General features: G+C 61.1%; 1 protein-coding gene and 1 pseudogene across 50 annotated transcripts in view, besides 3 other annotated features; both read left to right on the top strand.

Annotated features, from left to right (window-relative positions):
• Positions 1-25,074, top strand: part of TCF3 (transcription factor 3) — a 43,324-nt gene extending 18,250 nt beyond the window's left edge. For 2 of the 50 annotated variants that reach the window (XM_047439290.1, XM_047439291.1), the window contains exons 4-20: positions 1,961-2,034; positions 2,250-2,328; positions 6,940-7,007; positions 8,658-8,790; positions 10,366-10,415; positions 11,951-12,053; positions 12,143-12,312; positions 12,396-12,528; positions 13,175-13,233; positions 13,320-13,398; positions 14,513-14,586; positions 14,895-15,050; positions 15,132-15,255; positions 18,545-18,680; positions 21,936-22,159; positions 22,517-22,662; positions 22,997-25,074. In XM_047439290.1, coding sequence (XP_047295246.1) covers positions 1,961-2,034; positions 2,250-2,328; positions 6,940-7,007; positions 8,658-8,790; positions 10,366-10,415; positions 11,951-12,053; positions 12,143-12,312; positions 12,396-12,528; positions 13,175-13,233; positions 13,320-13,398; positions 14,513-14,586; positions 14,895-15,050; positions 15,132-15,255; positions 18,545-18,680; positions 21,936-22,159; positions 22,517-22,659 — 1,805 coding nt within the window. In that variant the 3' untranslated portion in view covers positions 22,660-22,662; positions 22,997-25,074. Of the gene's footprint in view, positions 1-1,960; positions 2,035-2,249; positions 2,416-6,939; positions 7,008-8,657; positions 8,791-10,365; positions 10,416-11,950; positions 12,054-12,142; positions 12,313-12,395; positions 12,529-13,174; positions 13,234-13,319; positions 13,399-14,512; positions 14,587-14,891; positions 15,051-15,131; positions 15,256-18,544; positions 18,681-18,845; positions 19,082-21,932; positions 22,160-22,516 lie in introns of all 50 variants that reach the window. The other 48 variants (XM_047439286.1, XM_047439271.1, XM_047439279.1 and 45 more) reach the window with 32 other exon arrangements.
• Positions 7,511-8,012: an enhancer, noted in NCBI's record as "H3K4me1 hESC enhancer chr19:1626353-1626854 (GRCh37/hg19 assembly coordinates)". NCBI's record gives its function as "activates a minimal SCP1, AML or CMV promoter by ChIP-STARR-seq in naive H9 embryonic stem cells {active_cell/tissue: H9 hESC(naive)}" and the evidence as "EXISTENCE:reporter gene assay evidence [ECO:0000049][PMID:30033119]".
• Positions 17,771-17,874, top strand: RNU6-1223P (RNA, U6 small nuclear 1223, pseudogene; annotated as a pseudogene).
• Positions 25,695-25,764: an enhancer, noted in NCBI's record as "active region_13618". NCBI's record gives its function as "activates an Ori minimal core promoter by ATAC-STARR-seq in GM12878 lymphoblastoid cells {active_cell/tissue: GM12878}" and the evidence as "EXISTENCE:reporter gene assay evidence [ECO:0000049][PMID:35858748]".
• Positions 25,795-25,844: an enhancer, noted in NCBI's record as "active region_13617". NCBI's record gives its function as "activates an Ori minimal core promoter by ATAC-STARR-seq in GM12878 lymphoblastoid cells {active_cell/tissue: GM12878}" and the evidence as "EXISTENCE:reporter gene assay evidence [ECO:0000049][PMID:35858748]".

Below are 26,272 nucleotides of genomic sequence, written 5' to 3'. Positions count from 1 at the left end.
TCTGCGGTGCTTCACCAAAGAAATCACAGAAAACCACACTCTGACAGCAGTGTCTTATTCTATTAGTACATTTTAATTAGAACAGGAGCAATGGATGCATTATGAATATTCATGGTGGGTTATTAAAATGCATCATTAATCGGTGGGGGGGATTTTAATAACTGTATTAATGTGGGGGCTGTCCTTATTTTTGTCATTTCTAGGAGGAGGCCAAGGCTGGGTGAGGGAGGGTTCCCCCAAAGGGCAGATTGAGGCCGCAGTGCCTCTGGCACAGGCCTGTTGGAGTGAACTTCGGGGGCGATCCCTGGGCATGGGGCCCCAGGAGGTCCCCCACCACACCAGGCCTTCCAGGGGATGAGGGCTGGGGTGCCAGGAGCCTCCCGTTTGCTCAGTTGGGGGTCTCTGCACCTCCTGGGGTACTGGCTATGGCCGGAGGGGACCAGACAACATGCAGGTGGTATAGAGGCAAACTGAGACCCAGAGGGTGCCGGCGCTGTGCCCACCCCTACACAGCCAGCCCACCCTGGCCTCAGCAGCTGCCCTGTTCACCAGGGCCCACGTGCAGGACCAGGATCTTGGGGTGCAGATGGCCCAGACCTGGCAGCGAATGCCGTGTGGATTCCTGGAGACCACAGGAGCCCCCTGCCTGGCCCCCAACCCAGCCAAGGCAGCATCCCAGCCCCCCACTCATAATCACATTGGAAATTTTTGATTAGAAAACAAAATCTAAATGAGGCGCATGAATATTCATTAGACTTGGAGATTAATATGCATAATTATGCAAATCAGACAGCAATTAAACACCAATACTCCCCGGGGGGAATGATTAACACAAAGGCACCGAAATAGAAGGATGCGATTTGAAAGAAGTTTCTGGTGTGGATGAGCAGGGAGGGCAGGGGGCGGGGCGGGGGAGCCTGCAGAACAGCCTGAGGTGGTGCCGGTCACAGACATCAGCACTGGGCTGGGTCCCCCAGGCCTGGCTCTCGGGAAGCCTCTGGACTTGGGAGTTGGACATGGACACCCCCAGCCCTGCAAAAGTAGGGCCTGTTTGTAAATCATTTATAGAGAGGGAAACCAAGGCAGGGCAGCAACTCCGTGGCCAAGCTGAGGAGGCCCAGGGCCCGCTCCTGCTTCTCCACGGGTGTGCTCTGTGGCCCCCGATGGAAGGGGGAAGGATCCAAGCAGGCCCTCCCTGCCCAGGGCAGAAGATTCTGGAGTCCTGGGCGTTGCCTGTGAGTGTTCTGAGAGATAAGGGCCCCGCCCGCCCCGCCCCGGGACCAAGGTCCTCGTCCCGTCCCTTGCTGCGCCGGGAACTCCTGCCCCACGCAGGCTTCTGGTCTCCACACTGGGCTTGTTCCTGGGTGATGAGATTCGGCTCCACCCTCACGGGCTGCCAGCCTCCTGCCCGATGGGTGAGCCTCTGCTGCTGCTTCAGCAAAGGGCGGCCCCACTTCCCACACTGGCAGGTGGGGACAGGGAGACCCTGGGCCTCCCCAGAGCTCATGGGTTAGCTTCCACACCCTCATGCTGTCATGAGCCTTTCTCACAGGGTCAGAAGAGTCTGCATCTGACACAGAGACCCCAGTCCACATAGTCAGGGCTGGGCCAGAGGGAGGGACTTGGGGCTGATGGGGAGGAGGCTCGGCGTGAGAGTGAGGTCTTTGCCCAAGGAGGGTATGAAAGCTGGGGCTTTAGTGGGTGGGTAGGAGTTGGCCAGCAGAGAGCCGACGGAAGAGTTAATTTAAGTTTATGGACCTGTAAGTGCTCCGAGTCCCAGGGTGTCTGGGTGTTAGCTGCTGACTGGTGTCCTCATGAGTCGGGCTGGGTGAGGCTGGGTTAGGAAGGGTTCCACAAGCCCCCCGGGTCCACTGAGGTTTGCCCCTGAGATGATGAACCGAAGCTTTTAGAGCTGGGCAGGCGTGAGGGTGACCCATAACTCTCTCTGTCCTGCCTGCAGGTCTTGAGGACCGGCCCAGCTCAGGCTCCTGGGGCAGCGGCGACCAGAGCAGCTCCTCCTTTGACCCCAGCCGGGTAGGAGTCCCCGTGAGGCCTGAGACCCTGAGTTTCCTGTCCCCAGAGTTGGGGGCGAGGGGTGTGGGGAAACTGAGGCTGAGAGAAGGGGCCAGCCTTCCAGGGGTTTGGACTGGGGGACATGGGTTTGAGTCCTGCCTCTCCAGCTGTAATGCGGGGTGGAGGGGGGGCCTGTGAAGCCCCAGCACCTCTCATCCCCACCCCATCTCCCCTAGACCTTCAGCGAGGGCACCCACTTCACTGAGTCGCACAGCAGCCTCTCTTCATCCACATTCCTGGGACCGGGACTCGGAGGTGAGTGCCTGGCCTGGTGCGGTCCCTCTGCTGTGCACAGATGTGCAGACGTGGGCCTTGGCATGGTCAGTGCACGCACAGCGCCAGGCAAGTCCCCAGCGTTCACCCAGAGGGTGTGGACAGCCGAAGCCTCTGCCCGTCCTGGGAGCAGCTGCGGGGAGGTGCAGGGGACGTGGCCCGGACTCCCTGGCACGGCACTCTGCAACTAGGCTTCCCCGCCTGAGCGTAGAGGCAGGGAGGCCGTTCCAGACCCCACTTCCTCCCTGGGATTTCTGCAGGGCTCCTCCTGCTTCCCGGGGAGGGGTCAGCCGGGCTGGCCTGTGCCCGCTGGGAAGGAGGCGTAGGAGTTCTGGAGACTCGGGAGGGCGGCCAGAGTGTGCGGTGGTCAGAGCCCATGCCCTTCCGCAGACCGCCCGCCCGCCCTCTTTCCCTGGGGGGCCCTCCTGTTAACCGAGAGAATCGTGACTCAGGTTGGGCTCGGTGGCTCACGCCTGTAATACCAGCACTTTGGGAGAGCGAGGTGGGTGGATCACCTGAGGTCAGGAGTTTGAGACCAGCCTGGCCAACATGGTGAAACCCCGCTTCTACCAAAAACACAAAAATTAGCCGGTCATGGTGTTGGATGCTTATAGTGCCAACTACTCAGGAGGCTGAGGCAGGAGAATTGCTTGAACCCAGGAGGTGGAGGCTGCAGTGAGCCGAGATCACGCCATTGCCCTCCAGCCTGGGTGATGGAGCGAGATTCCATCTTAAAAAAAAAAAAAGAATGAAGACTCAGGCCTGGTGTCTGGTCCCACCCCACCACGGAACCTGGGCAAGCGCCATCCTCTTCTGAGCCTCAGTTTCCCCACTGTGGGAAAGGGACCCTCCCAGAACCTTCTTGGAGGGAGGCGGTGAGGACTGACCCAGCTCTGCAGGCCCTGCCCAATGCCAGGTGGGGGTTGGTGCCTGGTCTTGGGTATATTCCAGCCCCGCTGCAGGCTCACCCGTGCTGCAGGGGAACGAACCGACGCTTGGGAAGGGCACCCTGGCCGGGGGTCTGCGGCTGGGTGGGGCTGACTGGGACGCCCTCCTCCAGGCACCTGGGGCTGCGACTGGGACAGTGTCCCGTGTGCGGTCCCTCCTGCGGGTGACACAGGAAATGCCCCGAGCTTCACATGCTCCGCCTCCTGCGGGAGTGTCAAGTCCTGTGCCCCAGGGTTCGGGGGCTCAGGTAGGGGTCTTGGGGGGGTCCCGCTGCTTGGGGGGCTGGTAAGGGCCTCAGGGGTCCCGCTGTCGTGGTCAGCCTCCTGCCCCAGTGCCTCAGCTGTGGAATTTGTGGTTTCATCCCTCAGTCATCCTGGGATGCGGGATCCTTCCCTTCTCTGGAACCCGACGGTTTGAGGCAGTGTTTCTGCTGGCTTTTCGTGGTGCAGTGGGGGTGTGCGCTGCTTAGAAGCCGGGAGCTGTGGGGCACTGGACCTGCTGCGGGGCCCAGGTGCTCACCGTGTACCCCTCGGCATTGTTGGCTTGCGGGGAAACTGAGGCCCGGAGGACTTTGGCCGACCCAGCCTTTTCCCTGGACCCTGAGGGGCAGCGCCTGTTTGGGCCCCACAGCGGGGCAGGGACGGTCCTGTCTCGCTTTGCCCGGCCTCGAACTTGGAGTACAGTAGAGTCAGTTGGTGTCCTGAGTAGGAAGCGAATAGCGTGAAGGTCTGGCGGGTGTGTCTGAGGGCCCACCACGTGCCACGGGCGATTTCTGCCCGTTCCCCTTACGGGGTAGGTGAGGCCTGGCCCCGCCCCCCTGCCGGGGGTGGCCCCTGCACCTGGGAGCCTGGTTCCTCACTGGCTGTTCCTTCCTCCCAGCCTCTTCCTCATACCCCCGATGGCCCCAGGGTGGGCAGGGCTGACGTGGGCAGTTCCCACGGCCCGGCCAGCAATGCCCAGAGCCCAGCCATGTCCCACCTGCCACCCCCACGGGTGGGGCCCAGGCCATAGCCAGGCAGCTTGGAGAGGGCAGGCGGGGGTCCCGGGGAGGCACGGGGGGCTTTTGCCATAACCTCAGTCTCCTATGGCCTCAGTTTTCTCACCCGAGGAGCCGGGCGAGTGACTGCTGTGGCCGGGTGTGGCCTGTGGGGTGGGTCGTGGCTGTCATCTTCCCCATGTCCCCCCGGGTCACCAAGATGAGGAAACGGGAGGCAAAAAACAGCAGCATTTGTTCCAGGAGTTGGGAAATCGTTGAACTTTTAAAATTCAAAAATCGGGAAATTTTTTTCCTGCTTTGAGAATAATGTACATTACTCGATCGCGCGTCCCAGCCCCTCACAGCAGCCCCAGTCACATTCCGTGCCCAGTGTCAGCCAGAAGGGGATTTAAGTGGCTCAGGTCCTGAGTAATCGGGGTGCCTGCTTCAGGCAAGGCTGGATCCAGGTGTCACCGCATCAGCCCCAGGCCCTCCACACTGGGGGCTCGCCCCGGCAGGCTGTCCTCCTCCGTAGCCCAGGCCCTCCATGCTGGGGGCTCGCCTTGGCCAGCTGTTCCCCTCCGTAGCCCAGGCCTTCCATGCTGGGGGCTCGCCCTGGCCAGCTGACCCCCTCCGTAGCCCCGAGGCCTCACCTGTCCTTTGTCACTGAGCGCCCCAGGGAAGTGCTCATTGGTGGGGTGCAGGTCACGTGCTCATTCGCGAATGAACCCTGGCCTGAAGGCTGAATGCTGGGCACTTTGGGGGAGCCTGTGCGGTGAACCTGATGCGGTGTGCACAGGCCCCGGGGCTCCCCGCCAGGGCCCCCAGGCCTGTCCCCTGGGACAGACAAATGCCTCTGACCCCAGCACCCCAGGGCATCAGCCCCTCAACGCCTGAAACAGAGGAAACTGAGGCTCAGGAAGGGCAGGGGCCTGGCCAGCAGGAAGCAGGGCCACTGTGAGCTCTGCTGTCCCCTTCCCGCCTCACCCCGTGAGCTCTGCTGTCCCCTTCCCGCCTCACCCCGTGAGCTCTGCTGTCCCCTTCCCGCCTCACCCCGTGAGCTCTGCTGTCCCCTTCCCGCCTCACCCCCGTGAGCTCTGCTGTCCCCTTCCCGCCTCACCCCCTGTGAGCTCTGCTGTCCCCTTCCCGCCTCACCCCGTGAGCTCTGCTGTCCCCTTCCCGCCTCACCCCGTGAGTTCTGCTGTCCCCTTCCCGCCTCACCCCGTGAGCTCTGCTGTCCCCTTCCCGCCTCACCCCGTGAGCTCTGCTGTCCCCTTCCCGCCTCACCCCGTGAGTTCTGCTGTCCCCTTCCCGCCTCATCCCCTGTGAGCTCTGCTGTCCCCTTCCCGCCTCACCCCCTGTGAGCTCTGCTGTCCCCTTCCCGCCTCATCCCCTGTGAGCTCTGCTGTCCCCTTTCCGCCTCACCCCCTGTGAGCTCTGCTGTCCCCTTCCCGCCTCACCCCGTGAGTTCTGCTGTCCCCTTCCCGCCTCACCCCCTGTGAGCTCTGCTGTCCCCTTCCTGCCCCACCCCCGTGAGCTCTGCTGTCCCCTTCCCGCCTCACCCCCGTGAGCTCTGCTGTCCCCTTCCCGCCTCACCCCCTGTGAGCTCTGCTGTCCCCTTCCCGCCTCATCCCCTGTGAGCTCTGCTGTCCCCTTTCCGCCTCACCCCCTGTGAGCTCTGCTGTCCCCTTCCCGCCTCACCCCGTGAGTTCTGCTGTCCCCTTCCCGCCTCACCCCCTGTGAGCTCTGCTGTCCCCTTCCCGCCTCATCCCCTGTGAGCTCTGCTGTCCCCTTCCCGCCTCACCCCGTGAGCTCTGCTGTCCCCTTCCCGCCTCACCCCCGTGAGCTCTGCTGTCCCCTTCCCGCCTCACCCCCTGTGAGCTCTGCTGTCCCCTTCCCGCCTCACCCCGTGAGCTCTGCTGTCCCCTTCCCGCCTCACCCCGTGAGTTCTGCTGTCCCCTTCCCGCCTCATCCCCTGTGAGCTCTGCTGTCCCCTTCCCGCCTCACCCCCGTGAGCTCTGCTGTCCCCTTCCCGCCTCACCCCCTGTGAGCTCTGCTGTCCCCTTCCCGCCTCACCCCCTGTGAGCTCTGCTGTCCCCTTCCCGCCTCACCCCGTGAGCTCTGCTGTCCCCTTCCCGCCTCATCCCCTGTGAGCTCTGCTGTCCCCTTCCCGCCTCACCCCCTGTGAGCTCTGCTGTCCCCTTCCCGCCTCACCCCCTGTGAGCTCTGCTGTCCCCTTCCCGCCTCACCCCCTGTGAGCTCTGCTGTCCCCTTCCCGCCTCACCCCCTGTGAGCTCTGCTGTCCCCTTCCCACCTCACCCCGTGAGCTCTGCTGTCCCCTTTCCGCCCCACCCCCTGGGCAGGGCTTCTGTGGGCTGCAGATGCTCAGAGTTGGCCCCGAAATCATCGGGGACCCCTTCTTGTCCCCAAGCCTGTCATTGGGCAGGAGATGGGCACACTGAGGGCAGGGCTCTGCGGGAGATGGGCATACTGGGGCCAGGGCTCCCCGAGATGGGCACACTGGGGTCAGGCTCTGCCAGCATCCTGCCGTGGCGCTCTCAGTCGTGTGCACTTACTGAGAGCCTATTGTAGGCACATGGCAGGCACTCGGGGGCCCTCAGGATGTTCCTTGGGGTCGCCTCCCACTAACCTTCCTTCTCCCCTTGCAGGCAAGAGCGGTGAGCGGGGCGCCTATGCCTCCTTCGGGAGAGACGCAGGCGTGGGCGGCCTGACTCAGGTGAGGGGCTCGGGCCGGGCTGGGGTGTATTTTGATTTTAAACAAATCTGTCACCCACCCTCTCTGATCTGCAGAAGCTCTCCTGGCTTAGCTAGGTTATGTTTGCTTCCTGATAGCGAAACCAGGCTGGGCTTGGGCCAGGGTGGGCTGGGTGGGTGTGGACCGGGAGCAGAGGGGAGGTAGGTGAGGACCAGGGAGGCCAAGGCCTGCAGGGCTGCCATGCTTAGCTGGAGGGGCTCGGTTGCCCTCTCCTCTGAGTGGCAGGCAGGAAAACAGGCCATGCAGCAGGGCTTTGCAGGTGTGGACCCCCTGGGGAGCCCATACAACAGGCCCCTGTGCAGCCGAGATCCTCACCCACGCTGGCCCTGGTTGTGAGGCTGGGGGAGGATGTTGGGGGCTGTGACCAGCCACAGGGGTCCCATGCAGCCTCCGGTGCTGGGCACCCCCAGGGTTCCTCCCTCACCCCAGGACTTCATCTCTGTCCCCGCCGTCAGCTCCTAGCTCTCGGTGGGGCTCGGCCTTGTCACAGGTGGGGCCGTCTGTGTGCTCACTGTGCCCAAGCCAGAGCAACAGTAGCCATAGTGATGGAGGGGGCCAGCCGGGTGCCAGGCTCTGCGCCAGGGGCAGATGCGCGTTTCCCTATCAGTCCCCGCAACGAGGGGCCGCGGCCTACGTGCCCATTTTACAGACAGGAATACGCAAGTGCCCGGGCTCCCCATCCGAGAAGCAGAACTAGGGCTCGGGCCCTGCTCTCTGGCGCTCCCGGGTGACTCATCGAGCCCCGCGGTGGCCACACAGGGTGCGGGCTCAGGACAGGCCGGGCCTCGGGAGAAGGCCCTGTCCTGGGCGCTGGGCCACCCCGTGGGGCCACTGGATGATGATAGAACAGATGATTCTTTTTTTTTTTTTTGAGACGGAGTTTCGCTCATGGCCCAGGCTGGAGTTCAATGGCGCAATCTTGGCTCACCGCAACCTCTGTCTCCTGGGTTCAAGCGATTCTCCTGCCTCAGCCTTTTGAGTAGCTGGGATTACAGGCATGTGCCACCATACCCGGCTAATTTTGTATTCTTTGTAGAGACGGAGTTTCTCCATGTTGGTCAGGCTGGTCTTGAACTCCCGACCTCAGGTGATCCGCCCGCCTCAGCCTCCCAAAGTACTGGGATAATAGGTGTGAGCCACCGTGCCCGGCCTTAGAACGGATGAAATGCAGGAGTCAGTTCCGGGACCCGGCTCAGGGCAGCCCTGGCTCCCCAGGAAGAAAGCCCGTTTCACACTAACATGTACAGAATCCAACCGAGGGCTTTACAAAACAAAACCAAAAAGATAGGAAGCAGCCGGGTGCACAGACGCTTAGCCACGCAGCTTTGTACTTTGCGTCTCAGAATCGGGGGAGCAGCCCCTTGGGTTGGCCACACTGGTATCTGTTTCTCAGTCTTTCGTTCTTCGTGAAAACAGCAGTGTGGGATGCGGTCAGTCTCAAGTCAGAAAAACACAGCAGGTGTCACAGAGAAACACCGTGACAGGCAGAAGGGGCATCACCCACTGCAGGGCGGGTCTGAGTGGCTTCGGCCTTTGCAGTTTTTTCTTGAATGGAACAGCCTGGGGTCTGGATGCCAGCTGGGCGCTTTCTGACCATCCGCTCCCCACCAGGCTGGCTTCCTGTCAGGCGAGCTGGCCCTCAACAGCCCCGGGCCCCTGTCCCCTTCGGGCATGAAGGGGACCTCCCAGTACTACCCCTCCTACTCCGGCAGCTCCCGGCGGAGAGCGGCAGACGGCAGCCTAGGTGAGCGGGGTCTGGCCGGGGCATCGGGGGCTTCTGGGAGGGAGCCTGCAAAGGGAGGTAGGAGGCTTCCCGTTAGCTGAGGGCACCAGAGGGAGCAGACCCCGCACCTTCCAGGTCCTGGCTGGACGTCGGGCGCTCGGGCCGTGGGAGGGATGGACGGTGACGGGGGGTCGAGGCAGGGGCCGGCGGGCGTGGCACGTCCAGGGAGAGGTTCCTACGAGCCTCTGGTCCCGAGGTTCCTGCAGCTGACGGGCACGGGCTCTGCCATGTGCTTTCTGTGTCAGATGCCTCATGGGGCTGCATCGTGGCTCCTCTGCACTGAGCCCTGCTGCACACGCGGGCATCCCCCGCGAGGCACGTCACAGCCTCGGGCTCAGGAGCACTGGACGGCGCCTTGAACTACCCGGGGCCCATTCCAGGCAGCACAGTCGCCAGGCATGGCGGCACTCACCTGGGGTCCCAGCTTCTCTGGAGGCCGAGACAGGAGGATCACTTGAGGCCAAAAGTTGCAAACCATTCTGGGCAACATAGGGAGATCCCATCTTTGCGAAAAATTTTAAAAATTAGCTAAGTATGGTGGCACACACCTGTGGTCCCAGCTACTCAGGAGGCTGAGGCAGGAGGATGGTTTGACCCTGGGAGTTCGAGGCTGCAATGAGCTGCGATCGCACCATTGTACTCCAGCCTGAGCAACAGCGCAAGACCCTGCCTGAAAAAAATAAGCGTGAAATCACCCACAAAAAGCACAAAAACGTAAAAGATCGTGGCTCTGAATAGACCAAGGACAGGAGCCCCATGATGCGGGAGGAGGCCTCTGTTCCGCCTTGGCTGGGCACATGCGCCTGGGCCACTCGAACTTTTCCCACTGTGCGCACGTCCGTGAGTGATCAGGAAGGCGCCTGAGTGCTGGTTTCCGGGTTACGGATTTTATCCTGTAGGCGAGTTTGCAAACAGCAGCCCCTAGTGGTGAAGCCTGACTGCGTGGGATAGTCGGGGCCATCTTGGAAGGAGGGTGGGGCCAAGGGGCTTCTCAGCAGAGCCTTGGCTTAGAATCCACCAACTCCTCGTTTTCCAAACTGCGCGTCGCGGGAGAAAACCATCGTGGTTCTTCGACATCTTTGGAGCCGTATAAATAGACCCGGGGCTTTTTGTTGTTGTTGCTGCTGCTGCTGTTGTGTTTTGAGACGGAGTCTTTCTCTGTCCCCAGGCTGGAGTGCAGTGACACGATCTCGGCTCACTGCAGCCTCTGCCTCCCGGGTTCAAGTGATTCTCCTGCCTCGGCCTCCCGAGTAGCTGGAATTATAGGCACCCGCCACCACGCCCGGCTACTTTTTGTATTTTCAGTAGAGACGGGGTTTCACTGTGTTGGCCAGGATGGTCTTGATCTCTTGACCTCGTGATCTGCCTGCCTTGGCCTCCCAAAGTCCTGGTATTACAGGCATGAGGCACCGCACCCAGCCGACCCGAGGTTTTTAATATATGAAACGGGAATTGTGAGGGTCTCTCCTCCAGGGTGTAGGGCAGGGGTTGTTCTCATGGCCGGTGGCCGGTTCTCACCCCTTTTGCTTCTAACAGACACGCAGCCCAAGAAGGTCCGGAAGGTCCCGCCGGGTCTTCCATCCTCGGTGAGTCGCACGAGGGAGAAGGGACCCCACAGCTCGTCAGTGGCAGTGCCAGGCCCTGTGTCCTGGCGAAGCTTGGGAACACACATGGCGGGGTGGGCCCTGAGTGGACAGGCCCCCTGTGATTTCTGAGCCAAGATCTGAGCTCTGACCCGAGGCCGCCTCCAAGGGAAGGCGGGGAAGTCCTTCCCTAGGTCCAGCCTCTGTCTGTCTTGTTTTGAGAGAAAGGCAGTCCTGGTGGCTGAGGCCCCTTTAGAAAGGGCACAATTGTGCTGGGTGTGGTGGCTCATGCCTGTCATCCCAGCGCTTTGGGAGGCCGAGGTGGGTGGATCACCTGAGGTCAGGAGTTCTAGATCAGCCTAGTCAACATGGTGAAACCCCATCTCTACTAAAAATACAAAAATCAGCCGGGCGTGGTGGTGCGTGCCTGTAATCCCAGCTACTTGGGAGGCTGAGGCAGAAGAATCGTTTGAACCCAGGAGGCGGAGGTTGCAGTGAGCCAAGATCATGCCGCTGCCCTCCAGCCTGAGCAACAGAGTGAGACTCTGTCTCAAAAAAAAAAAAAAAAAAAGCGGGGGGTGCCGCAATTGGGGCTCCCTGTTACATCCTCACAGCTTCAGGCTGCCCCGCATCCCTGCCTCCCTACCAGGCCTCGCAGATGGTCCAGGCTGCTGTGCCACACTCCTGCGGTCTCATCTCGCTGGAGGGAGAGGGAATTTGCCGATTCCCTGGCTCAGTAGCCACCAACCACCCTCTGCCCAGTGCCTGTGCTGGCCCCAAGAGCCCTGGGCATACATCTCCTCACCCCTCCAGCCGACCAGCTCCCCACAGGCCTGGGTTCGGGGTTAGAGTCAGGTTGACTTCCCAGGCCAAAGGCGTGGTCAGGCTCTGCTCCCAACAGTATCACTCACTCCCCTCCTTCCCCAGGGTGCACTTTCTCTGCCCTGAAACCGCCCCCCAGTTTATTACAACATCAGGCCCACCCAGCATACTTCCCGCTCCAGCACAGCAGCAGACGTTACCAACAGGCCCCAGCCCCACAGTCCAGGCAGTGCCAACCAGTCAGAGCTGGCGCTACTCACAGACCCCTCTTCCTGTTACTTTAGTGAAGGACGAATGTTGCTCTGGGACCAAGGGAAGCTCAGCACTGGAAGATTGATTCCAGCTGGGGAACAAGGGAGAAGGATGGGATGGGGTGTTGGAGCTGGGGTTTTGATGGGTCGATAGGAGTTTTCTGGATTAAGGAGGAAAAAGGTTTAGTAGGCAGAGCCAGATCCAAGTCCTCAAGTACAAAGGTCAGAAGTTCAGGGAGGCGGGAGGTGGGGGCTGGAAAAGGAGTAGGAGAGAGAGACCAGGACATCATAAGAACCTCAAACTTGGCCAGGGGCTGGGATTTACCTAAAGGGGGGTGGCTTTACAGGGAAGGGAAACGGGGTGGTAGATGTGCTACCAGGAGGGGACAGGAGGCCGGCAAGGTGCATGGGCTGATCGTGGTCCCTCCGTCCTGACTGCACCCCCCACCGCCCACCCGCCCGCAGGTGTACCCACCCAGCTCAGGTGAGGACTACGGCAGGGATGCCACCGCCTACCCGTCCGCCAAGACCCCCAGCAGCACCTATCCCGCCCCCTTCTACGTGGCAGGTACATGGCAGGGCGGGGGCTCGCCAGGGACGGTAGGGCAGGGCTGGGGTTCCCCACTCGGCCCCCACCTTACCAGCTCCCCTCCACAGATGGCAGCCTGCACCCCTCAGCCGAGCTCTGGAGTCCCCCGGGCCAGGCGGGCTTCGGGCCCATGCTGGGTGGGGGCTCATCCCCGCTGCCCCTCCCGCCCGGTAGCGGCCCGGTGGGCAGCAGTGGAAGCAGCAGCACGTTTGGTGGCCTGCACCAGCACGAGCGTATGGTAGGACCCAGGGCAGGGGGCAGGGGGTGGGCGGAGGGTGGCAGTGCCCATCTAACCCACCCTCCTCCTGCCTGACCCCCCAGGGCTACCAGCTGCATGGAGCAGAGGTGAACGGTGGGCTCCCATCTGCATCCTCCTTCTCCTCAGCCCCCGGAGCCACGTACGGCGGCGTCTCCAGCCACACGCCGCCTGTCAGCGGGGCCGACAGCCTCCTGGGTATGGCCCCTCCCTGGGATGCGGCCTCTCCGAGGGGACACTGGGCTCCAGGCAGGGTCTGGGTGGGGGGTGGCGAGGACTCCACGGGAGGCGCAGGCGCGTCTGCTGGCCCTGAGAGCGGGTTGTTGTCAGTTCTCATTGTCCGCTGTCTGCAGGGCCTGCCACGTGCGTTGGGCTTGGGATGTCTGGAAACAGATCTTTGAGGAGCGGCTTTCCCGCCTTACAGCTGGGAAAGAGGCTCAGAGAGGGACTCACCCACCCAGGGTCAGAGAGGGACTCACCCACCCAGGGTCAGAGAGGGACTCACCCACCCAGGCCCAGAGAGGGACTCACCCACCCAGGCCCAGAGAGGGACTCAGTTACCCAGGCCCAGAGAGGGACTCACCCATCCAGGCCCAGAGGGGGACTCACCCACCCAGGCCCAGAAGGGGACTCACCCACCCAGGGTCCCCTGCCAGTGGCCTGTCCCCAGTGCCTCAACCCCTGCAGAGGCTGGTTTCAGGGGGTCAGACAGAAACCGGACCCGAGTCAGGCTGCTCTCCCTGGCGCAGCAGTGTCTGTGCAGGACGGCAGAACGCAGGAGAGCTTGCCGTCGGCGGCAGCACCCAGGCCGGGCTGCGTGGGCCTCACCTCTCTTCACCCACAGGCTCCCGAGGGACCACAGCTGGCAGCTCCGGGGATGCCCTCGGCAAAGCACTGGCCTCGGTGAGGCGTGGGGCATGGGGGGTGGCCAGGCAAGTGACCTGAGAGGCCGGCCCCTGACCGCCCATCTCTCCTGGTCCTCCTCGCAGATCTACTCCCCGGATCACTCAAGCAATAACTTCTCGTCCAGCCCTTCTACCCCCGTGGGCTCCCCCCAGGGCCTGGCAGGTCTGTGAGGGTTTTGGGGGGAGGGGAGGCTGAGGTCTGTGAGGGTTTGGGGGGAGGGGAGGCTGAGGTCTGTGAAGGCTTTGCGGGGGAGGGGAGGCTGGTTCTGGTGTCTGCACCTTGCTGGGATAGGCAGGCAGCGGGGAGGGAGCAGATGGCCCCCAAGGGCCCGTGGCATCGCTGGTCAGGAACCGACGGTGGAAGGGAGTCCCCCATGGGCTTGTGTTCCACTGGGCAATCCAGGAAAGCTGCCTAGTGGAGGCAGCCTCCAAGCCAGCCCTCCAAGGCTATAGCACATAACCAGGCAGTGAGGGAGGGCTGGGAGGTGGCGTCCAGGTTAGGTCACAGCACAGGCAAAGCCAGGAGGCAGGACCTGGCAGTTCACACTGCGTGAACATGAGGGGACATTGGCGTGCCTAGCAGCTCCCAGGTCCGATGGGGCCAGCATCGCCAGGGCTGTGGCCTGGACTCTAGAATGTGTGCGTGTTGCCATTTGCTCACCCACTGGGTATTTATTAGGTACTGACTGTTTACCCTGTGCGGTGCTCCGGCATGGGAGGGCAGACCCTCCTATCCCTGTGAGGACGTGCTTGCTTATCCGCAGGGGGTCGGGGGCAGGTACAGGAGGAGGGGGAGTGAGAACTGGAGGTTTCCAGAAGGTCTGGGTGTTTAAAAACACCCGTGAGTCCTCATCTCTGCCCCCATGGGAAGCGCCAGGAACCCTCACTTCACCTCGGCCTGTCTGGTCCCACCTGGAGCTTGCCACTTTCTTGCCTGCTGCTGGAGCCCAGCGTGGGTCAGCCAGGGTGGGGCAGCATGGGGAGGAGCCCCCTACTGTGTGCTGCCGAGCCACTTTATCCTCTGAGTGGGGAGTTGGATTTTGTAGATGGGGAAACTGAGGCTCAGAGATAGGAATGGCAGTACCCACTGGGCACCCAGCATCCCTGCCTGGCGGGGCCGAGCAGCTTTGCATCAGTGTGGGGTGCCCCGGAATGGCCATCTTGGGCATCACCGGAGGCTGGACAGGCGGGGTGGTTCATGAATCCCTCCCCATGGGCATCAGGCCATGCTCACACCCCGCCCCTCGCACCCCATTCACGTCCCCACTCCCTTCCAGGAACGTCACAGTGGCCTCGAGCAGGAGCCCCCGGTGCCTTATCGCCCAGCTACGACGGGGGTCTCCACGGCCTGGTGAGTGCCTGCCCCGCCCCACCCCACCCTTCCCCGACAGAATTTGCAGGACAGACGCTCCTTGAGAAGGAGAAACCTTTTTGTTAGTTTCTTGTAAATAAGCCCCAAGCTGTTATTGAGGCCTCGTGGCCGCCAAGGCACACACATTTTGTGTGTGCTCCCGGGCGCCAGATGCCTGGCATATGCAGCTTCCTGGGGAAGGGGAAGATGGGACCACCGGCCACTTGCATGCGGAAGGGACATGAATGGAGGCCTGTGGGGTCCCTCGGCTTGGGCCCCTCACCACCCATCCCCCCACCCTGCAGCAGAGTAAGATAGAAGACCACCTGGACGAGGCCATCCACGTGCTCCGCAGCCACGCCGTGGGCACAGCCGGCGACATGCACACGCTGCTGCCTGGCCACGGGGCGCTGGCCTCAGGTTTCACCGGCCCCATGTCACTGGGCGGGCGGCACGCAGGCCTGGTGAGCGCTGGGCGAGGGTGGAGCTGGGCAGTGGGCGGGGACCCGGCTCCCCCTGATGCACCCGTCTCCCCACGCCTGCAGGTTGGAGGCAGCCACCCCGAGGACGGCCTCGCAGGCAGCACCAGCCTCATGCACAACCACGCGGCCCTCCCCAGCCAGCCAGGCACCCTCCCTGACCTGTCTCGGCCTCCCGACTCCTACAGTGGTAAGCCCTTGAGCTTGGGACTGTCCGACTCCTGGTTCCAGTTGGGGAAACTGAGGCACTCTAGTGGTGGGGGTCAGGGTGGGAGCCCAGGGCAGGTGTCACCGTGGGGGCACCTGGTGACATGGGCGCCCCAGTCAGCAACTTCAGGAGGGTGGGTAAGACCGGCGGGGCCGGCGTTGGCCCTGGGCGTGTGAGGTGGACAGCTCTGGGCTGCCTCTTCATTCGCCTGCTCCCAGACGCTGTGTGCCTGGCAGCGCTCAGCACTGGGGAAGGGGCGAGGGGTGCAGCAGGATGCCTCTGCCTCAGGGGAGACAGACCAGGAGCTCGCTGCACAGTACAGGTGCCAGGGAGAAGGAACGAAGTGGCTGCGGTGGGTTGGGGGTTTTGTATGGCTTTGAAGATGGTGGCCCATGAGGCCACAAGGTGGTGTTTGGGCAGCATCTGGGAGGAGGCAAGAGTAGGCAAGTACCTGGAGGAGGAGGGTTTCAGGCAGAGGGCGCAGCCCAGGCAAAGGCCCTGGGGCTGGACTGCACCTGGGAGGAACAGCCAGGAGACCCGTGGGGTTGGAGCAGAGTGAGGAGAGGGAGAGAGGGAAGGGGGGAGGGCGGGGCAGGGCAGGTCATGCGGGGCCTTGTGGGCTGCGGGGAGGACTTGGGATTTGGCCATGAGAAAGGTGGCAGCCGTGGAGGGCTGAGGAGGGATGGGACCTGACCCAGGTGCTCACAGATACCCTCTGGTGGCTGCTTGGAGGACAGACTATGAGTGGCACCGGGAGACCAAGGCAGAGGCCACAGGGCTGGTCCAGGGGCCTTGGAGGGGTGAGCAGTGGGTGGGCCCTGCATCTCCTGAAGGCGGGGCCCACAGGATTTGTGATGGACAGGACTTGAGGGTGAGAGAAGGCAGGGTGGCTCTGGGATTTCTGGCCCGAGCTGTGGGTGACACTGGGGCTGGGAACTCCGTAAGGAAGGGGACAAAGGAAAAGGTTGGGGACAAATCTGGACCTGGGCCTGGGGATTGTTGAGTGTCTCAGACACCCATGAGAGGCCCAGGAGAAGGTGGGGTCATTGTGGGCGCTGTCCTGGCCCTGTGCCTTCCACCAGCCCAGGAATCCTGCCTGCTTTCCAGGCAGACTTTCCAAGTACCTTGATTCTATCACTCCTAGGCCAGGGCATCTCACCGCAGCGGCTCTGCCCCCAGGGGACACTGGGTGATGTCTGGGGACATCTACAGTTGTCAGGGCTGAGGGGAGCTCCTGGCATGGAGTGGGTGGGGGCCAGGGATGCTGCTCAGCACCCTGCAGTGCCCAGGACGGCCCCACCCCAGAGAAGGGTCCGGACCCACAGGTCAGCAGTTTCCAGGGGCAGCCCCAAGCTTAGTCTTTCACCCATAGGCTCCCCTCTGTTTCCTTCCTGTCCTTCACTTCGTGTGCTGAGGCCTGGGCTGGTCCTGGTGGCTGGCGTTGGCCGATTGGAGCAGAGTTCACTGTGGGGAGCGGGTGCATTTCTGAGGCTCCCCCTCAGGGTACGGGGGTCTCAGGGGATGGCAGCTGGTTTGCTCCATGTGAGCCCTGACTGATTCCTGGACTCCCCAAGCCCGGGTTTTGGGGGTGGCCCAGGCCCTGCTGAATGCAGAGTGGCCGCATTCATTTGGGGCACTGTGTACCCTTAAGCCACATGTTTTGCAATTATTGTTCTTGAGCTTCATGAACACGGCGTCCCACTAGCGTGTTCTTTACACGCTGGTTTGCTGGCTTATGTTGTGTGTGGGGTACATGTGTGGTGTGAGCGGCTGGGGTCCCATTGTGAGTGTGCCGTTGGCCCTGGCCCGGGCGTGGGGCTGTAGGTCATTCCAACATCACGCTTTCCTGCCAACCTGCTGATCAAGGGTGTGATACACCTGTTGTCAATTCAGAGGAAAGGCTGATGAATTATTTTCCAAAGCAGCCAAGTTGCCCTCCCACAGGCAAGATTTTGACTGTTCAGGTCCCTCAACTTTGCTAGCTGACTGGGTATGAAAGGGTAGCGCAAAGCCACCCTAATTTGCATTTCCTTAATCTCTTGATGTGCTGAAGCGGACTTCCACGTGTTTCTAGCCATGTGGTTTCCTTGTCTGTGAGATGCCTTTTTGGATACCTTGCTTATTTTTCTACTGAGTTACTTTCTTTTTGTCCTTTCCCATTGATTGTGGGAGATCACCTCCTGGTTGGCTACATCTGTGGTGGGTGTCTTCTATTCTTTGGCAAATGCTTTTCTTTTCCTGGTATCTTTGCTGATCAGGAACTCTCAATTCTGATATAGTCCAGCTTACTGATTTTTGTTTTTTCTTTTTTACTTGTTTTGTTTTGAGACAGGGTCTCACCCTGTCACACCAGAGTGCAGGGGCATGATCACAGCTCACGGTAGCCATGACCCCCTGGCCTCAAGTGACCCTTCCACCTCAGCCTCCCAAAGTGCTGGGATCACAGGCGTGAGTCAGCCACTGTGCCCGGCCTGTGTTCTTTCAAAAGCAGCGCTTTGAGCACTTGCTTGGACAGCTCTTGGACTAAAATGAGAATGATAAAGATTAGCATAGCATCTGCACAAGGGTGACGTGGACATTCCTGAAGTGTTCCAAAGTTTTATTCTTTTTTTTTTTTTTGAGACGGAGTCTTGCTTTGTCACCCAGGCTGGAGTACAGTGGCGCAATCTTGGCTCACTGCAACCTCCGCCTCCTGGGTTCAAGTGATTCTCCTGCCTCAGCCTCCCAAGTAGCTGGGATTACAGGTACCCACCACCACAGCTGGCTAATTTTTTGTATTTTTAGTAGAGATGGGGTTTCACCATGTTAGCCAGGATGGTCTTGATCTCCTGACCTCGTGATCCACCCACCTCGGCCTCCCAAAATGCTGGCATTACAGGTGTGAGCTGGTGTGAGCCACTGTGCCCATCCGAAGTGTTCCATATTTTTAAGTTAATGATTGAAACAGTTTACTTTCACCAAAAAAGAAGAGTGTTCTTTTAGCATCTTAGTAGATTCCTGCCATTGAGTTGCTGCAGAATTTCTACACACTTTGTTCCAAAGGTGGTAAAACTGTTTCCCTTTCATCTTGTGGTCCTTAATCTGTCTGGCATTGGTAGCTACACATGGCGTGAGGTAGGGATCCAGTTCTGGTTGTTGGTTTTTTGTTTTTATTTTTGGCCAAGACCTGGTTTTTCCAGGAAAGCCCAAGTCCCTCACCACAGGAGCACAAAGAGATATGTCAGTTGGCCCTGGAGGCCGACGCAGGCCCCTGACCCTAGGCCTGTTGCAGGGCTAGGGCGAGCAGGTGCCACGGCGGCCGCCAGCGAGATCAAGCGGGAGGAGAAGGAGGACGAGGAGAACACGTCAGCGGCTGACCACTCGGAGGAGGAGAAGAAGGAGCTGAAGGCCCCCCGGGCCCGGACCAGGTGCCAACCCACCCCTCGGCACTCCCCACCCTCACCCCATCAGGACGCACATGTGCACAGGCCACACGCACACCGCACCCACACTGGGAGGCCGTCGGCGGGCCCCACGCTCTTCCCCCAACCTCACTGTCTCCCTCTGGCCCCCTCCCGGCGCCCTCCCCATAGCCCAGACGAGGACGAGGACGACCTTCTCCCCCCAGAGCAGAAGGCCGAGCGGGAGAAGGAGCGCCGGGTGGCCAATAACGCCCGGGAGCGGCTGCGGGTCCGTGACATCAACGAGGCCTTTAAGGAGCTGGGGCGCATGTGCCAACTGCACCTCAACAGCGAGAAGCCCCAGACCAAACTGCTCATCCTGCACCAGGCTGTCTCGGTCATCCTGAACTTGGAGCAGCAAGTGCGAGGTCAGTGGGGGCGCGGGCCACCAGCGTCCCTGCAGCGCCACCCTCCCTCGTGTTCCTGCCCTCGTTCTCCTTCCCCGCCCGCCTTCCTGGAGCCAGCCCTCCCTCTGCAGCAGTTGCCTCCTTGCAGTGACTGTGCCCTTCACCCCTCTGACCGCATTGCCATGACTGTCCACTCCTGACTGCCAGCCCTTCTCCCTGCCTGCCTCAGCATCCCCTCCACAGTGGGAGGACTGGACTCTTTCTGGACCCCTAGTCCTTCAGGCCTGGGCTCTGTGGCTCAGAACTGTATCTCCCAGCTCCACGGGGCTCCCACTCGCCGTGGTCCTCCTTTCTTGGGAAGCCCAGAACCCAGCTCACAGAGGCCAGTGTCCCCCGATCCCAGAGACAGGAGCTGGTGTGCAAACCACCCTGGCCCCTTCCCGTCAGGCAGATGCCACGCAAGGCCACATGAGCCCATCCCCTGTCTCTGACTCAGTTTCCCTATCTGAAGGTGATAGGGAAACTTCCTATCACCCCCATTTCCCAGGGCCAGGGGGAGGAAGGATACAGACAGACCCTGTCCCCACCCGCAGATGTGAGCTGACTCCTTCCCCCCGCTGGCGCTGGCGGCTGCTTCCTTAACTCCTTCCTTTCCTCGCCTGCACCCCGTTAACCCTTTCTCTCCTGCAGCACTGTTGCTGGGACCGGAGCCAGAGCCCCGGCCCGGCCCACACGCTATCCCCTCAGCTCTAAGGTTTCCGAGTCTCTGCAGCCGTGTGTGGCACGCCTCGCGCCCCCCAAGCCCGCCTCTCTGCTGTCTGCCTTCCGCCCTCCCCTCCATCCCGCCCGTCCGTCCCTCTGCTTCCCGTGGCAGCCCCTCCTCACCTCGCACTTGCTGCCCGAGCACCGGGAGCGGCTGGGCTGCAACCTCAGGGCGTTTCCTCCCCCAAAGCCCCCCGTCAGGGCTTGCGGGAAGAAACCAGACCCGGGAGCACGCAGCCCCTGGTCCTGTCAGTTTGGTCTGTGCGCTTGTCCTGGGCTCCAGGGGCCGCCCCCACCACCTGGAGGGATCCCCTCAGGCCCCTAAGGCAGGGTGGGCAGGCAAGTGGGTGAGGCAGCCCCCTAGAGACTAAGACAGGGCACCAGGCATGCTGGGCACTGGGCCAGACCTTCACCCATTTCATCTTCACCACAACCTAGAGCAGTGGGTGCCCTGATGGGGACCGGCATCCATTCTACCAAGTAGGAAGCCAGGGAACAGAGCGAGGTCACCCATGCAGGGCCATGCAGCACAGAGGCCTGGGCCGGGACCCGCACCCCTGCGGCAGCAGCAACAGTGCCCGCTCGCCAGCTGCATGCTGCTCGGCTGGAGAGGGGGCTCAGCCTTGGGCCTGGCACAGAACAGGCTCTTGGAACCTCAGAGCTCCTACTGCGACCATTCACGGTGGCAGTGACAATGGGGTTCCTGGAGGCCTAGGGAGCTGGCCTTCCCAGCCAGGGGCAGGAGCTCAGGGAGGGCTCATCTTGGGGCAGCCGGAGTTCACTGTAGGGGACGGGTGCATTTCTGAGGCTCCTCCCCAGGGTGTGGGGGTCTCGGGGGATGGGAGCTGGTTTGCTCCATGTGAGCCCTGATTTGAGTCCTGGACTCCCCAGTCCCGGGTTTTTGGAGTGGCCCAGGTATTTGCCTGCTGAGCCCGTGTCTTCAAGGCCTCCTCTGTCCACAGTGAGTCTGGCCAGGCCTAGCTGTCCATCACCCCGCAAGTGGCTGCTCTGAGCAGGGAAAGTCATCATCTTGGGAGGGAAGAACAAAGAGAGGAGCAGGCACTGGGCCTCCCCTGCCCCCAGCCCTGCCCTGGGGCCCACAGAGTGAGCAGGGTCAAGGGAGAAGCAGTTACCCTGTGGGCTCCCAGACGGGGAAGCAGGGCCCCATCTCCCTCCACAGAAACGTCTGGGAACAGTCAGACCTTGGGTCTTCCTGGGTGTGACCACATCCACAGCCTCCCCTAGAGCTGAGTCTGAGGGCACTTGCACCTGGGCAGCCAGTCGCGTACACACACAGGCGCCCCACCATGGGGCTCTGCTGCATTCCAGGGAGCACATTCGCCGCGTGCACAGAGAAGCACATTTTCACGCATGTGACAACACACACATCAGCATGTGGACCCGTACTGCTGCCCACACCAACACCAGCCGTGTACCCCCACTGCTGTCCACACCCACACCAGCCATGTACCTGCATTGCTGTGCCCGACACCAGCCGTGTACCTACACTGCAGTGCCTGACACCAGCTGTGTAACTGCACTGCTGCCCACAGCAGCACCAGCCATGTACCCACATTGCTGTGCCCAGCAACGTAAGCTGTGTACCCGCACTGCTGCCCACACCAGCCGTGTACCCCCACTGCTGTCCACACCCACACCAGCCATGTACCTGCATTGCTGTGCCCGACACCAGCCGTGTACCTGCACTGCAGTGCCTGACACCAGCTGTGTAACTGCACTGCTGCCCACACCAACACCAGCCGTGTACCCACACTGCTGTGTCCACCAACGTAAGCCGTGTACCCGCACTGCTGCCCACACCCACACCAGCCGTGTACCCGCACTGCTGCCCACACCAACACCAGCCGTGTACCTGCACTGCTGCCCACACCAACACCAGCCGTGTACCCACACTGCTGTGCCCACCAATGTAAGCCATGTACCTGCACTGCTGCCCACACTGCTGTGCCCACCAACACCAGCCGTGTACCCACACTGCTGCCCACACCAGCACAAACACAAGTAGCTGGATACCCTCTCCACAACCCAGCCCTGCCCTCCCACCCAGCCTTGGCGCATCACTAACAGAGGCCTCGGTGCTGTGACCCAGCAGTACGGACGAGGTGCTGTCCCTGGAGGAGAAAGACCTGAGGGACCGGGAGAGGCGCATGGCCAATAACGCGCGGGAGCGGGTGCGCGTGCGGGATATTAACGAGGCCTTCCGGGAGCTGGGGCGCATGTGCCAGATGCACCTCAAGTCGGACAAAGCGCAGACCAAGCTGCTCATCCTGCAGCAGGCCGTGCAGGTCATCCTGGGGCTGGAGCAGCAGGTGCGAGGTAGGCTCCCCGGCCAGGGCTGCCCCAGCACCCTCTCCCTTCCCCACACCCAGGTGCAGATGCTGGGGTCCTCCTGTGCTTGCCGCCCCCGGACTCTGTCCATGTCTGTCTTTGTGGCTGGACTCAGACCCAGTGATGTTCCCCAGACACCCCCTGATACCCACTCTCTTCTTTACAAGCCTCCACCCCATCCCCCCAGCCTTCTCAAGGAAGGAGGTGAGAGCCGGAAATACAGGAGGCCACACGTGATGGGGCTCTGCCCCCACCCCCCCCCCCGACATCCTACCCCCCACTCCCACCTCACATCTTTCTCCTCCCTGGGACCGTCTCCCACAGAGCTCTCCCCCCTCCCTCCAGAGCGGAACCTGAATCCCAAAGCAGCCTGTTTGAAACGGCGAGAAGAGGAAAAGGTGTCAGGTGTGGTTGGAGACCCCCAGATGGTGCTTTCAGCTCCCCACCCAGGCCTGAGCGAAGCCCACAACCCCGCCGGGCACATGTGAAAGGTATGCCTCCGTGGGACGAGCCACCCGCTTTCAGCCCTGTGCTCTGGCCCCAGAACGGCCACTCGAGACCCCGGGCTTCATCCACATCCACACCTCACACACCTGTTGTCAGCATCGAGCCAACACCAACCTGACAAGGTTCGGAGTGATGGGGGCGGCCAAGGTGACACTGGGTCCAGGAGCTCCCTGGGGCCCTGGCCTACCACTCACTGGCCTCGCTCCCCCTGTCCCCGAATCTCAGCCACCGTGTCACTCTGTGACCTGTCCCATGGATCCTGAAACTGCATCTTGGCCCTGTTGCCTGGGCTGACAGGAGCATTTTTTTTTTTTCCAGTAAACAAAACCTGAAAGCAAGCAACAAAACATACACTTTGTCAGAGAAGAAAAAAATGCCTTAACTATAAAAAGCGGAGAAATGGAAACATATCACTCAAGGGGGATGCTGTGGAAACCTGGCTTATTCTTCTAAAGCCACCAGCAAATTGTGCCTAAGCGAAATATTTTTTTTAAGGAAAATAAAAACATTAGTTACAAGATTTTTTTTTTCTTAATGTAGATGAAAATTAGCAAGGATGCTGCCTTTGGTCTCTGGTTTTTTTAAGCTTTTTTTGCATATGTTTTGTAAGCAACAAATTTTTTTGTATAAAAGTCCCGTGTCTCTCGCTATTTCTGCTGCTGTTCCTAGACTGAGCATTGCATTTCTTGATCAACCAGATGATTAAACGTTGTATTAAAAAGACCCCGTGTAAACCTGAGCCCCCCCGTCCCCCCCCCCCCCCGGAAGCCACTGCACACAGACAGAACGGGGACAGGCGGCGGGTCTTTTGTTTTTTTGATGTTGGGGGTTCTCTTGGTTTTGTCATGTGGAAAGTGATGCGTGGGCGTTCCCTGATGAAGGCACCTTGGGGCTTCCCTGCCGCATCCTCTCCCCTCAGGAAGGGGACTGACCTGGGCTTGGGGGAAGGGACGTCAGCAAGGTGGCTCTGACCCTCCCAGGTGACTCTGCCAAGCAGCTGTGGCCCCCAGGGCTACCCTACACAACGCCCTCCCCAGGCCCCCCTAAGCTGCTCTCCCTTGGAACCTGCACAGCTCTCTGAAATGGGGCATTTTGTTGGGACCAGTGACCCCTGGCATGGGGACCACACCCTGGAGCCCGGTGCTGGGGACCTCCTGGACACCCTGTCCTTCACTCCTTTGCCCCAGGGACCCAGGCTCATGCTCTGAACTCTGGCTGAGAGGATGCTGCTCAGGAGCCAGCACAGGACACCCCCCACCCCACCCCACCATGTCCCCATTACACCAGAGGGCCATCGTGACGTAGACAGGATGCCAGGGGCCTGGCCAGCCTCCCCCAATGCTGGGGAGCATCCCTGGGCCTGGGGCCACACCTGCTGCCCTCCCTCTGTGTGGTCCAAGGGCAAGAGTGGCTGGAGCCGGGGGACTGTGCTGGTCTGAGCCCCACGAAGGCCTTGGGCTGTGCGTCCGACCCTGCTGCAGAACCAGCAGGGTGTCCCCTCGGGCCCATCTGTGTCCCATGTCCCAGCACCCAGGCCTCTCTCCAGGTCTCCTTTTCTGGTCTTTTGCCATGAGGGTAACCAGCTCTTCCCAGCTGGCTGGGGACTGTCTTGGGTTTAAAACTGCAAGTCTCCTACCCTGGGATCCCATCCAGTTCCACACGAACTAGGGCAGTGGTCACTGTGGCACCCAGGTGTGGGCCTGGCTAGCTGGGGGCCTTCATGTGCCCTTCATGCCCCTCCCTGCATTGAGGCCTTGTGGACCCCTGGGCTGGCTGTGTTCATCCCCGCTGCAGGTCGGGCGTCTCCCCCCGTGCCACTCCTGAGACTCCCACCGTTACCCCCAGGAGATCCTGGACTGCCTGACTCCCCTCCCCAGACTGGCTTGGGAGCCTGGGCCCCATGGTAGATGCAAGGGAAACCTCAAGGCCAGCTCAATGCCTGGTATCTGCCCCCAGTCCAGGCCAGGCGGAGGGGAGGGGCTGTCCGGCTGCCTCTCCCTTCTCGGTGGCTTCCCCTACGCCCTGGGAGTTTGATCTCTTAAGGGAACTTGCCTCTCCCTCTTGTTTTGCTCCTGGCCCTGCCCCTAGGTCTGGGTGGGCAGTGGCCCCATAGCCTCTGGAACTGTGCGTTCTGCATAGAATTCAAACGAGATTCACCCAGCGCGAGGAGGAAGAAACAGCAGTTCCTGGGAACCACAATTATGGGGGGTGGGGGGTGTGATCTGAGTGCCTCAAGATGGTTTTCAAAAAAATTTTTTTAAAGAAAATAATTGTATACGTGTCAACACAGCTGGCTGGATGATTGGGACTTTAAAACGACCCTCTTTCAGGTGGATTCAGAGACCTGTCCTGTATATAACAGCACTGTAGCAATAAACGTGACATTTTATAACGATGCCCTGCAGTCCCCGGGTTCTTTCTGGTGTCACATGTTTAGGAAGGGAAGTGGGGGGGGGCCCTGACGTTCACCTCGGGTGCAGCAAGGACCGTGGTCCACCCTGTGCACTGGGCTTCCTCGAAGCGACTCCTCACTCTGAGGAGCCCATGGCTCCCAGGGCGGCTGGGAACCTGCATGTGTACTCAGGGCTCCAGGCCACCTGGAAGCAGGATTGGCTCCCGGGGAAAAGCAGCTCCCTGGGGGCTGCACTTGGGCGCGTAGGAACCATCCAGGACCTGCGGTCCTCCCAGCCCCCATCTGGGAGGGCTCCCCATCTCCCAACGTCCCCCCCCCGGGCTGTTGGAACCCACTTCCCTGCCCCTTCCTGCTCCGAAGTCGGCTCGAAGTCTGAGTCTGTCACTGCTCCTCTGAAACCTTCCACGGCTCCGTTGCTGGCAGCGTCAACCCCACACTCCTTAGTGCGGCATCTGTGACTTCCTCCACAACCGGATGCCCACGGAACCCACGGACAGAGCTCTCGGGGGGAAGGGGTGTGGCAGGACCTGTGGGGGCGCTGCTCATCCCAAAGTGCCCACTGGCAGGCATCTGCTGCTGTGCCCAGGGACTTGGCCGCTGCATCTCTGCGAGGACACAGCTGGACTGCCCTGCTCCCCTACAGGGTTGGGGTGGAAGGAGTGCCTTCCTGGCCACTTGACGGGGGGTGGCCCCCAGGAGAGAGCCCTTTGGCACACAAGTGCCTTAGGGAGGAGAAGGCTCAGCACAGTGACTCATATCTGTAATCCCAGCACTTCAGGTGGCTGAGGCGGGAGGATCGCCTGAGGCCAGGAGTTCCAGTCCAGCCTGGGCAACATAGTGAGACCCCATGTCTATAATTTTTAAGGGAAAGAGAGTGGCCAGGAGTTGACAGAAGGTGCTGAGGGAGCCCTGTCCACCACTCTACCCAGCTGGCCTCTAAATTCATGCTGGAAAACAACTTTTAAAATATACATTGGCCGGGCGCGGTGGCTAACGCCTGTCATCCCAGCACTTTGGGAGGCTGTGGCGGGTGGATCACTTGAGGTCAGGAGTTCGAGACCGGCCTGGCCAACATGGCGAAATCCCATCTCTACTAAAAATACAAAAATTAGCCGGGCATGGTGGCGCAAGCCTGTAATCCCAGCTATTTGGGAGGCTGAGGCAGGAGAATAGCTTGAACC

The sequence above is a fragment of the Homo sapiens genome, chromosome 19 (assembly GCF_000001405.40).
Source record: "Homo sapiens chromosome 19, GRCh38.p14 Primary Assembly".
Taxonomy (NCBI): domain Eukaryota; kingdom Metazoa; phylum Chordata; class Mammalia; order Primates; family Hominidae; genus Homo; species Homo sapiens.
Note: the sequence above shows the minus strand (reverse complement) of the source record. Positions and strands in the feature narration are given on the sequence as shown.